The 12,160-nt window shown below is 45.2% G+C and overlaps 1 protein-coding gene and 1 long non-coding RNA gene across 32 annotated transcripts in view, besides 1 other annotated feature; one reads left to right on the top strand and one right to left on the bottom strand.

The window, feature by feature from the left end:
- Positions 1 to 12,160, bottom strand: part of TRIM2 (tripartite motif containing 2) — a 187,155-nt gene that overhangs the window by 82,714 nt on the left and 92,281 nt on the right. The window lies entirely within an intron of this gene.
- Positions 6,873 to 6,922: an enhancer, noted in NCBI's record as "active region_22050". NCBI's record gives its function as "activates an Ori minimal core promoter by ATAC-STARR-seq in GM12878 lymphoblastoid cells {active_cell/tissue: GM12878}" and the evidence as "EXISTENCE:reporter gene assay evidence [ECO:0000049][PMID:35858748]".
- LOC105377496 (uncharacterized) lies at positions 8,065 to 11,970 on the top strand. Its single transcript, XR_939360.4, has 3 exons — positions 8,065 to 8,184; positions 9,556 to 9,790; positions 11,462 to 11,970. It is a non-coding gene; the product is annotated as an uncharacterized LOC105377496 (long non-coding RNA).

Below are 12,160 nucleotides of genomic sequence, written 5' to 3'. Positions count from 1 at the left end.
AAGTAGCCATATGATAGTGATTAGGTCTCCATATTACAAATAATAATTTAGAATAAAAAATCTTACATATCAGAGTAGAATTCACAACCGTTCCTTTTTCTACAACAATAAACGCAGGGAACAGTATTGCATCCTATTCCTTGGTTAGTTATTAGTTTCAAAGGGATTGCTAATAATGTTTATTTTAAAAAACTGGGCATCTGCATATTTGATTACATTAATATTTATCACATTCTTTCCACGCAGTCAAGCATTACAGTGAGCCCTTGAAGGGGCCTCAGCTCTGCAGAGCAGTGGTGATTACCTTTGGTGGTAGTAGGAGGAGGGGGATCACAGAGAATACAGCAAAATTGACAGACCCCAGAAATGCACATACATGCCAACTTTGGCGTGCCATTTTAGGTGATACACAGTTCTCAAAATCCCAGTTAACACCCTATTTTAGAAGTTTTGTGGATTTTTTTAAAGCTTCATTGAATTGTAATTCACATACCATATAATTCACCCATTTAAAGTGTACAATTTAATGGCTTTTAGTATATTCATAGATGTGGGCAACTATTACCACAGCCAATTTTGGAACATTTTCATCATCTCAGACAAACAAACAAACAAACACCCAACCCATACCCTTTAGCTATCTCTCTCTTCCCTCCCACATCACATCCCCACAGTCCTAAGCAATCACTAATCTACTTTCTGTCGCTAAAGGTTTCCCTATTCTGGAATGGAATCATATAATATGTGGTCTTGTGTGTCTTGCTCTTTTCACTTGGCAGAATGTTTTCCAAGTTCATCCATGTGGTAGCATGTGTCAGTATTTCGTTCCTTTGTATGGCTGAACGATATTCCATTGCGTGAATTTAGCACATTTTGTTCATCTGTTCATCAGTCGATGGACACTGGGTTGTTTCCACTTTTTGGCCATTATGAACAGTGCTGCTATAAACATTTGTGCACAAGGTTTTGTGCGGACGTATGTTCTGCTTTAGAAGTTTACAGTTTAATTAGGACCCACTTCTAAAACTGGAAGCAGGCTACCCCCACTGAGTTTTACAAGCCTAAGACAGGCCATCAGACAGGTGTCTGACTTACTACAACAGGAGTCCTTTCTTCTTCTCATTCTGCTACTAAGCCTATCCCAAAGCCAAATTCATCAAATGCTGACCCCGCCCCCCAGCACATTCTTTGTCCTGATCTCTCTCATTCTCTTCTTCCAGTCAACCCAGATTCTTGAGACCTATAACTAGACCAGGTCTCTGTTTTCTGAAGGTGGAGAAGTGGGAGAGATCTTTGGTCTTGTTGCTGGGCTTCCAGCCAGAGGATGTTAACTTACTCATTCAATCATTCATTCCAATGAAGACTTGTTGAGTGTCATGTGTTCCAAGCACTGAGTAGGCAATGAGGATACAGAGAAGAATTTAATATTTCTGAGCCCTCAGGGAGGTCACAATCTAGTGTGGGAGATGGATTAGTAAGCAAGCAATTGCAATGCAGAGTGGTAAATGCTTGAGAGCAAGAGGAAGCAAATGCTCTGGGCGCCCATAGAAGGGATACACAGGGCCAGGGAGGTGTGCGGGGTGTGCGGAGCATTTCAAGCACTGAGTGCAGCACAGTCAAAGGCATGAGATGGTTCATGGGACCAGCGAGTAATACCTAAGTATAGCTGAAGCCTGGGGTAAAGGTGGAACAAATGCAGGTGATATCTGTTTCTGATCTTTTACCTGGAATTGGGAATATTTTTCCCCTGGAAATAGCATTACATAGGATAGCTGGGTTTCAAACACCCTCACCACAATGGCTTAACTACTATATGGGTTAAATGGGTTTTGGGGGCTCAGCTGTGAATCTAACAAACACACATAATATTGCTTATTATAGGAAAATGCAGCCTCATTTTTAGCATATGTCTTGGCAAATGAGTCCAACTGTTTATAAGTTGGGGCTTGGGTAACCGTGGGAGGCCCCCACGGAAATGCCAAGCATCATCTCCTTGGCACTTCCTGAAAACAGGTAGGTAGATGGTAATAGTGGCTGCTGGTTATGCTTCTGAGTTGGAGTTTCCCATATTGTGGCCTCAAGTGGCCGGACTCGGGGGTCTCAAGGGCAGAGAAGAGCCCAGGATTCTTGGGATTACAGCCACTGCACACCTTATTGACTTCTTGGAGCTGTCTTGCCTCTCCCCACTGTTTCCATCCAGCTGAATGGAGATTAGAGCTAAACTGCCATCAGCCAGTCTGACTATGATTTGTGCACTGGAGAAGTATACAGACAGTGCCTATGCATAAGAAGAGGATGTACGCTACTAAATTGGGATTGGCAGGAGCATGAGAGATAGCGATCCAGTATTTACTGACCCTGTATGATGTGCCAAGTTCAATCCAATGCACTTTATATACAGTCTGCCTATCCCTGCTCAAGAAAATTTATCCCAGAAAATGAACATCTTAGGATGGCATACAAAGTAATTTACAATCCGGCATCTGCTTCCTGATTATTTTCCACCTTCTGTCCTCCCTAGTCACACTCTGTTCATAAGACATTCTGTTACTGGAAAGCGGTCCCGATCCAGACCCCAAGAGAGGGTTCTTGGATCTCCTGCAAGAAGGAATTCAGGGCGAGTCCACAGTGCAAAGTAAAAGCAAGTTTATAAATAAAGTAAAGGAATAAAAGAATGGCCACTCCATAGACAGAGCAGCCCTGAGGGCTGCTGGTTCCCCATTTACATGGTTATTTCTTGATGATATGCTAAACAAGGGGTGGATTATTCATGCCTCCCCTTTCTCGAACATATAGGGTAACTTCCTGACATTGCCATGGCATTTGTAAACTGTCGCAGCGCTGGTGGGAGTGTAACAGTGAGGAGGACCAGAGGTCACTCTGGAGGCCATCTTGGTTTTGGTGGGTTTGGGCCGGCTCCTTTACTACAACCTGTTTTATCAGCAAGGTCTGTATGTTGTGCCGACGTCCTATCTCATCCTATGACTTAGAATGGCTTAACCATCTGGGAATGCAGCCCAGTAGGTTTCAGCCTCATTTTACCTGACTCCTATTCAAGATGGAGTTGCTCAGGTTCAAACACCTCTGACAGTTCCACATGTATTTTTTTAGCAGTGGCTCTCAGCCAAGGAATGGTACCAACCCCTCCCATGGGGTAGTAGGGTGTGCATTTGGAAATGTGAAGGGGCACTATGGCTGTCATACCCAGTGTGTGTGGGGGTGGGTAACTACTAACATTTAGTGCCTATGTGTAGGGATGCCAAACCTGCTCCAATGCTTGGGAGAGTACGTTAAAAGTACATCTGTCCCCACAACACTAATGTCAGTAGCATCTCCTTTGAGAAACACTAATCTCTAGGCTCACTTACCACTTGTTCTGCCAGGAACACTCTCAGCCTCTCCTGCCTCCTGCCCCTGGTTAACTTCTTGCGCTCCTTTAGAACTCAGCAAAGCCACCACTCACTTTAGGAAGGATTCTCTGAGTCTTCCTCTGATGCCCAGATCCTCCCACCCACAGTCTGGATTGAGTACCACTCCTGTGTACTCCACAGCATTCTTGCTAGAAACTGTTGAAGGTTCCATCTTTTACCTTTAATTCACTAACCCTTAGTGCAGTGCCTGTCACATACTAGGTGCCCAATAAGTAGATAGGGAATGATGAAAGTTCTATGAATGAACAAATGACATAATATGACATAAAGGTGAAAGTTCATCTCAGAATTAGTTGGATCAGAGACTGTTATGGATAGGCAATTCTTCATATCTGGTAGTTTATGATTTAGAAGGTACCTTCATAGGCCAGGAGTGGTGGCTTACGCCTGTAATCCCAGCACTTTGGGAGGCTGAAGTGGGTGGATCACAAGGTCAGGAGTTCAAGACAAGCCTGGCCAAGATAGTGAAACCCCGTCACTAATAAAACTACAAAAATTAGCTGGGTGCAGTGGCAGGTGCCTGTGATCCCAGCTACTCAGGAGGCTGAGGCAGGAGAATCTTGAACCTGGGCAGCAGAGGTTGCAGTGAGCCGAGATCATGCCACTGCACTCCAGCCTGGGTGACAGAGTGAGACTCCATCTCAGAAAAAAGAAAGTACCTTCATAGATTTTCTCTTTGATCCTCAAAGCTAACCCAGAAACGGGTAGAGCAGGCATTGTTATTTTAGTGGAAATTGAGATTTAGAAAGGTAAAGTGACCAGCCCAGGATGGAGTAACCATAATGTAATAGAGGTGAACTAGAGTCCAGGTCTTGTGGCTGGCACCGTTCCTCTTTCAGTATGTCACCTGCCCCAGGATGTGCAAGAACAGGAACAGTAATCAGGCAACTCCAGAGTAGAACAAAGCCAGCTAAGTAGAGAGGTGATGTGTTTCAGTGTGAGATAGATATAACCAACTAGAAGAGGCAAACAAATCAGGAGCTTATAAACGCTGCCTAATGCAATCATTTCATTTTCTGTGTCTCTGATTTCAACAAGCTTTATTGGGGTTGGAGGAGGCAGATAGGGAGAGATTAGTCAACAGATATAAAGCTACAGTTAGATAGAAGGAATAAGTTCTGGTGTTCTATTGTACAGTAGAGTGACTACAGTTAACAATAATGTATCGTAGATTTCATTTTTTAACTTGTATTTTTTGAGACAGGGTGTCACCCTGTTGCCCAAGCTGGAGTGGGAGTGCAGTGGCGTGACTGCTGCTCGACCTCCTGGGCTCAAGCAATCCTCCCACCTTAGTCTCCCCAGTAGCTGGGACTACAGGCGTGTACCACCATGCTAAGTTAATTTTTTGTATTTTTTTATGGAGACAGGGTTTTGCCATGCTGCCCAGGCTGGTCTAGAACTCCTGGGCTCAAGTGATATGCCCATCTCAGCTTCCCAAAGTGTTGAAATTACAGGCATGAGCCACTGCACCTGGCCTGCATATTTCAAAATAGCTAGAAGAGAGAATTTTGAATGTTCTCACTACAAAGAAATAATAAAGGTATGAGGTGATGCATATGCTAAGTACCCTGATTTAATTATTACACAATGTGCATCCATATGGAAACATCACACTGTACCTCATTAACATGTCAAGTAGAAAAAAATTTTAAAGATATAAAGAAAAACAAACATAAAAACTTTATGAAAAGTATTGCCCAATGGTTTTATGAAAGAAGATGGTAAGAAGTAATTATTTCCAGCCTTCAGTTCAGTCATGAGCAACTGGAGAGGAAGTATTGTTATGATGGATTTCACAGTTCAGCACTCCAGGTGTGGCCCTCAAAGCCAAGCTCCTTCTGGACAGTCCAGACTCTCTGTAGTCAGTTTGATTGAGTGGTTTGGTTTGGACCCCAAGAGGCCGAGCCCCTTCCTCTCTACTGGCAGTAGCCCTGGTGAGGCCTCCTATGTTTAGGGGTTGGGATCATTCATTAGTGGCTGTGGGGGAGGTTTTAAGGACAAACAGGACTGTCAGGAAGTAATGGTGAATGAAGCAGAAAGGACTTTCTCTTAAGCATCCTTAAAAGAGAAAAGGTGCAAGTTGGCCTTAACCTATTGGGGTTATGTGGATAGGAGTAGATTAATTGGGAACCAGCTGACCCAGTTCCAACCCAAGAATTCACACCAGAAGTGGCCTGGCCTTCAGATGACCCTTTAATGTTATACATTGCACAAGTGATTGTGTGCCAGGTGGTATACAAGGCACTGGTGACAAAAAAATAAATGACACAAACAGAACCTCTCAAAATCACTCCTGGGGACTGAGTTATCTGCCTTCAGCTCAGAGTCTCAAGGATCAGGATAGCCCTTTGCAGCCGGGCTGTATTTGCAGTAAAGGTGACCCAGGTCAAGCACCCCTGACTCCCTGCCCAGTATGTTTCCCACAGGGAGCTGCCCCAAACTGAAGACATATCCAGGTGGGATCTGCCCAGCACAGAGCAGAGCAAGACCATCACTTTGCTTGCTCCAGGCTCTATCCTTCTATTAATTACCTCTGAGGTCCTGGCACTTTTCTCATATTGACTCATATTGGACATAAATTCATGCCCAGCAACCCTATCCAAGGAGGAATTTTGGTTGGTCTGGTATCATTTATTCTTATGGAACTCAGGATGCTTTTTTTTCTAGGTACTAACAAACCATCCCATTAATATTCCTTCTCTAGCATTACTCTTGATAGGGAGTTCTGTAGTTTTGTAGAAAAGACTGAAGTAGGCCTGGTGTGGTGGCTCACGCCTGTAATCCCAGCACTTTTGGAGGCCAAGGTGGGCAGATCCCTTGAGATCAGGCGCTCGAGACCAGCCTGGTCAACATGGCAAAACCCCGTCACTACTAAAAATACATAAATTAGCCAGGCATGGTGGCGCGTGCCTGTAGTCCCAGCTACTTGGGAGGCTGAGGCAGGAGAATCACTTGAACCCAAGAAGCTGAGGTTGTAGTAAGCTGAGATGGGGCCTCTGTACTCCAGTCTGGGTGACAGAGTGAGGCCCTGTCTTTAAAAAAGAAAAGAAAAGAAAAAAAAAAAGACAAGCAAAACACAAGGCTCTGCCATGCACTGATTATTAAATGCCCAAGTAATAACATGTCTACTCCTTCATTATTCTTTGTCCTGCTCTGACTGTAACAAAAAGCAAAAGCACGCAAACACAAAGCTCTTTTGTTTCGCCCATTGCTTGGCCTCGAGAATTCAAAGTTGACTCTATCTATCTTGAGTATACCCGGAATGTAATCTCCCGGTGCTAACTATGGGTTCCTGATTGCATCCGTGTCCACATCGATGTGCACATCGGTATCAAGTATTGTTTTTCTCTTAAGCAGAGCTCCATTACCACACTTCTCATTTTAACAATTAAATTCAAGGCGGTGTCAAGTTCCTGCTTGCCTCACCAGTTTACCTTGTTTAATTAATGCAGTGGTTTTGACTACAGGGCTGGGATTTAAGAGTTCGGGAGTCTCCGTGGGCGACTGAGCTGGTGGAGGCTGAACAGAGGCCCCCAGGGCCGGGGCGGGAGCAGGGAGGTGGCCGAGGCGGGAGCAGGGAGGTGGCCGAGGCGGACGCGCTGCTAATAATGCCTGCCTCTTCCACACATGCTTTCCTCTCGGTCCCAGATAGTGGATTACTTTTAGACCAACATGTAATTCAGAGAGAACCTCGCAAATGTTCCTCTCTACTGACCAAATCACCCGACCTCTACGATTCCATCCTGCGGTCATAACCACCGACCTGGGGAAATCTCAGACAGCCCCGGCCACGCATGCCAGGCGGAGCCCTAGGGGCTTTCACCCCGCAGGCTCTGCCGGGGCCCGGGCTCCATAGCAACAGGCCCCGCCCCGAGGCGGGAGCCGAGCTGCGCTCAGGCGGAAGAAAAGAAGGCGGGTCCCCTCCACCCAGATGGCGATTGCGCGCCGGTATTCCGAACCTCTGTCTTTCCCCCACCCCCTCTAGGTTTCCTTTTCTAACCTTTTTGTCTCACCAGGAAATAGAACCACTTTGTAAAAGAACTGATTCAAGTGGTGGCGATGTGGGGAAGAGGAGGGAGTAAGGCCCGCGGTGACAGCATTAAAAGCTGGGAGCCCTGGGGATCGCCCCCGCCTGGCCCTCCAGCAACAGGAGTTCTCCCGACTGTGGCCTTTTCCCGTGTCCGGGGTCCACAGCTCTTTGCCTGCTAACCCTGGAGGGTTCTAAGCCGATGCGCCCATGCTGGGGGTGGGACTTTCTCCGAGTAACATGCTTGGGTTTCCATGCTTTGAAACCTGGAGGTGACACTGAAGTAGGAGCCTGGGCACCTTGGCAGAGGGAGCTAATCAGAGGACAGGGGAATCTGACACCATCCTCAGAAGGCTGCCCCTCCAACATGTTACCAGAAGAGTATTTTCCTAAGCAACCTGCCTGGCACTACAACTCAGGGTCACTTTCATCCACGATTAGAATCCTATGATGAAAGTCAGAATGCATCTGCGATTAAGGCACGGGCTCTGGAGACATATCTGGATTTGCTTTATCTGCAGGTTGCTCCTTGCCTGTCTGTTAGCTCGTTTGTAAAATGCTACCTCCTAATGCCATTGTGATGATTAAATGATCCAGTGTGTCACTGTCAGCCCCATGCCTAACACACAGTAAGTCTCAGGTGCGGTAGTGGAGAAGAGGATGGGCTCTAGAGCCAAGAATGGGTTTGGATCCTGGCTCTGCCACTTACAAGTTGTATAACCCTGGGTAAGTAATTTAACCTGTATTCCTCAATTACCTCAAGTGTACGGGGGATGACAAGGGTACTGACTACATAGCGTTGTTAGGAGAAGGAAATGGTTTGTTTAGTCTATGTAAAGAACCTGATCTAGGCCGGGTGCGGTGGCTCACGCCTGTAATCTCAGCACTTTGGGAGGCTGAGACAGGTGGATCACCTGAGCTCAGGAGTTCAAGACTAGCCTGGCCAACATGGTGAAACCCTGTCTCTATTAAAAGTATAAAAATTAGCCGGGCATGGTGGCAGGCGCCTGTAATCCCAGCTATTCAGGAGGCTGAAGCACAAGAATCGCTTGAATCCCAGAGGCGGACGCGCCAGTGAGCAGAGACTGTGTCACCGCACTCCAGCCTGGGGGACAGAGCGAGACTCCATCTCAAAAAAAAAAAAAAAAAACACATGATCCAATGCCTGATGCATCATAAGCAGTCAGAACATAAATTATTACTATCATTATTATGGCCACTACTAGATTTATGAGTTCCTTTAGAAATGACTGATAATTCACTTTTTTTACTCCTGGAGCTGGGCTCATTTAAGGATTCAGTAAGCATTTGTGGGGTTTTTTTGGGCATATGAATAGTTTAATAAAACACTACACTTCATCACCTTTTCATAAGCCAAATAAAATACATCAATAAATGATAGCGAGCAGAATCATGCAAAATCAGAAGAGATATGCCTATACAGTTTTTTTTTTTTTTTTTTTTTTTTGAGACAGAGTCTCACTCTGTTTCCCAGGCTGGAGTGTGGTGGCGCTATCTCAGCTCACAGCAACCTCAGCCTCCTGGGTGCAAGCAATTCTCCTGCCTCAGCCTCCTGAGTAGCTGGGATTACAGGCATGTGCCACCATGTCCAGCTAATTTTTTTGTATTTTTAGTAGAGACGGGGTTTTGGCATGTTGGCCAGGCTGATCTCAAACTCCTGACCTTAAATGATCTGCCTGCCTCGGCCTCCCGAAGTGCTGGGACTACAGGCGTGAGTGACCGCGCCTGGTGCCTAAACACTTTTATCACACCAGGCTGGACACAGCCTCCCTCTGCATCCTCACCCACTTAGCACTGGTGTCTCCCTGCTGTTTTTGACACAGCTGAGAGGCTGCAGTGCTACTTTGTTACTCTTGCTGAGGTCTCACACTAACTCTAGTCCCAGGCCAGTCCCAGGAAGGAAGAGAGTCTGTTCATGCCTACCTGCCACTGGTTCTCATGAGAAAGAAACCTGGACTTTTGTGCTGGTCAGCGGCCTGTGGAAATGAGTCCTCAGTGGCCAGCATCTCTCCCTTAGAGCCAGCAGCCTTCTTAAAAAGATCAGAAGAGAAATGATTCCTTTTGGTCCCCTTCCAGCGTCAGTTTTGCCCTTTGATGTAAGTCATCGTCTCTGGACATGAGAACGGGAGGCCTCACTTCCACATCCTCCTCCAAATGAATGCACTCTAAACAAACATTGATGCGCCTCTCAAGGTTGGCATTGCATCTGGACCAGTGCCAGGAAGCCACAAGGCCACCAGAGGCAGAGGGGAAGAGCAAGGGCGGAAGAATAGAAGTCAAGCAGCAGCAGATGGAATGTGTGCACGGTCAGGTGAGGCCTGACCCGAGGGTGTTGTGAGCCCTTGGTCAGGGTGAGCCCAGTGCCAAGCAGAGCCATCCATGACCTTAGGGCCAATGCTAGGCACCCTGACTCTTCCTTGATAATGTCTCTCATCCTCTATTCTTCCTCCCCCTTTCTCCCACCCTCTTTCCTACTCCCTATCCACTTCATTCAACAGATTTTTAACTTAGCTTCTACTATGTGCTAGGCACTGTGTTAGGAGCCACAGATAGTCACTATCCTTAAGGAATGTACACATTCTCATAACAGAGACAGATACTAAATCTCAAATAATAAACTAAATTAAATTACTTGAAATAGAAGTTAATTAAGCTTCAGACAATTAACAATTTTTATCTGTGGCCTCTACTTCAGACCCACCTAGGAAATACAGGCATGTTGGTGTTCTGTGGTGGATAAGAATCCAGGCTCTGGAATCAGACAAATGTGGGTACAAATCCCAGCTCTGATACTGCCCAACAGTGTGATTTTGGCCAAATTACACCACCTCTCTTACCCTCCTTTTCTTCATCTGTAAAAAGTAAAAGAGATACTTTTTACTTTTTAAAAGAGATACTTTTTATAGGGTTGTTATGAGGATTAAACAATGCCCAAAAGATGCTTAGCACGTTGCCTGGCACATAGGAAGACTCAAAATATGTGAACTATTGTTGCTGTTTAATTATACAAGCAAAGAGGTCAGCAAACCTTTTCTGTAAAGGGCCAGTATAGCAAACACTTTATTGACTTGTGAGTCAATACAGTATCCGTTGCAACTGCCCAATTTTATTGTAGTGTTAGAGCAGCCATTAACAGTAGGTAAAGGGGCTGGGTGTGGTGCCTCATGCCTGTAATCCCAGCACTTTCAGAGGCTGAGGCAGGCAGATTGCTTGAGCTCAGAAAATTGAGACCAGCCTGGGCAACATGGCAAAACCCTGTCTCTACAAAAAATACAAAGAAACTAGCCGTGCATGGTGGTGCACACCTGTAGTCCCAAATACTTGGGAGGCTGAGGTGGGAGGATCGCTTGAACCCGGGAGGAGAGGTTGCAGTGAGCTGTGATTGCACCATGCACTGCCATCCTAAGCAACAAAGACAGACCCTGTCTCAAAATAAATAAGTATATAAACAAACAAATAAATAACAGTTGTTAAAGGAATGATTATAACTGTGTTCAATAAAATTATATTTATAAACACTGAAACTTGAAATAATTTTCTCATGTCACAGAATATTATTTTTCTGTTGGTTTTTTCCAAATTATTTAAACACATAAAAACCATCATTAGCTCACTGGTTGTACAAAAACAGGCCGTGGGCCAGATTTGGCTCACAGGCCATAGTTTGCCCGCCCCTGCTCAAGCCTAACAAAATGGCTGACACACCTTTAGTAGATTTTGCTTCAGAGGAAAATCCAGTTGGTGGGTCTGTAATACCCTAACTCACTGTCTGGACATTAAGACACAACCTGGTCTGACTAACAACATTATAAACCAACCCAAGGATAGCAAAAACCTCGTAAATGAAAAACAATACCTACAGTTTACTTGTGCATAAGCCAAGATAAGTAAGTAAACAGAACTTACCATTGGCTTGTGCAGAAGATAAGAAATGGAAAAGATAATCAGTTCCTTAGACGCATGATCACCCTGTGTTTTGTAGGTGGAGGCAAGCTGCTCCTGACTGGTGCAAGAACTGACTGTGTGTGTACTTTGCTTCTCAGTGCTGTGCACAGACACGTGCAGCAAGAACCATCTCAGAGGGTCACAAGCCCCCTAGATTTTACCCACAGAAGATGGTAGAAAAAAGAACCTGTGATGAATGAAGAAAGCTGGGGAAAATGAGGGAAGGCAGGAGGAACCTGCCAGAAACAGGCCAAGTCCCACCAACATGGAAATCAGATCACAAATGATTTAGCTGTAAAACAGGTATCCCAAGTTATGCCATGTAATTCCCAATTCCATTCTTTCCTTTCCTTCTCCCTTTCCCTCTTAAGTATCTGTGGATAGAAACAGGATGTTATGTTTTACTTTCTCCTGCAATGTAGGAAGATATTTATTCTCTAGTTCATATCCAATTATTTGCAGGCCAGAAATTCTTTCTCTAATAATATTAAAATATGTACCTGTTCCAAAGACACTGCAATTAATAAAGTTGTTTCCCTCAACCCAGAGGAAATGCAAAGCTTTCTTATAAATCCATTCCAAGAATCAAATTTTTGTACATCTTCAAAAAACTATGTGTTGCTAGGTGCAGTGGTACACACCAGTAATCTCAGCTACTTTGGAGACTGAGGCAGGAGGATTGCTTGAGCCCAGGAGTTCAAGATCAGCTCGGGCAACATAGTGAGGCCTCCTCTCT

Source organism: Homo sapiens, chromosome 4 (genome assembly GCF_000001405.40).
Source record: "Homo sapiens chromosome 4, GRCh38.p14 Primary Assembly".
Classification (NCBI taxonomy): Eukaryota; Metazoa; Chordata; class Mammalia; order Primates; family Hominidae; genus Homo; species Homo sapiens.
Note: the sequence above shows the minus strand (reverse complement) of the source record. Positions and strands in the feature narration are given on the sequence as shown.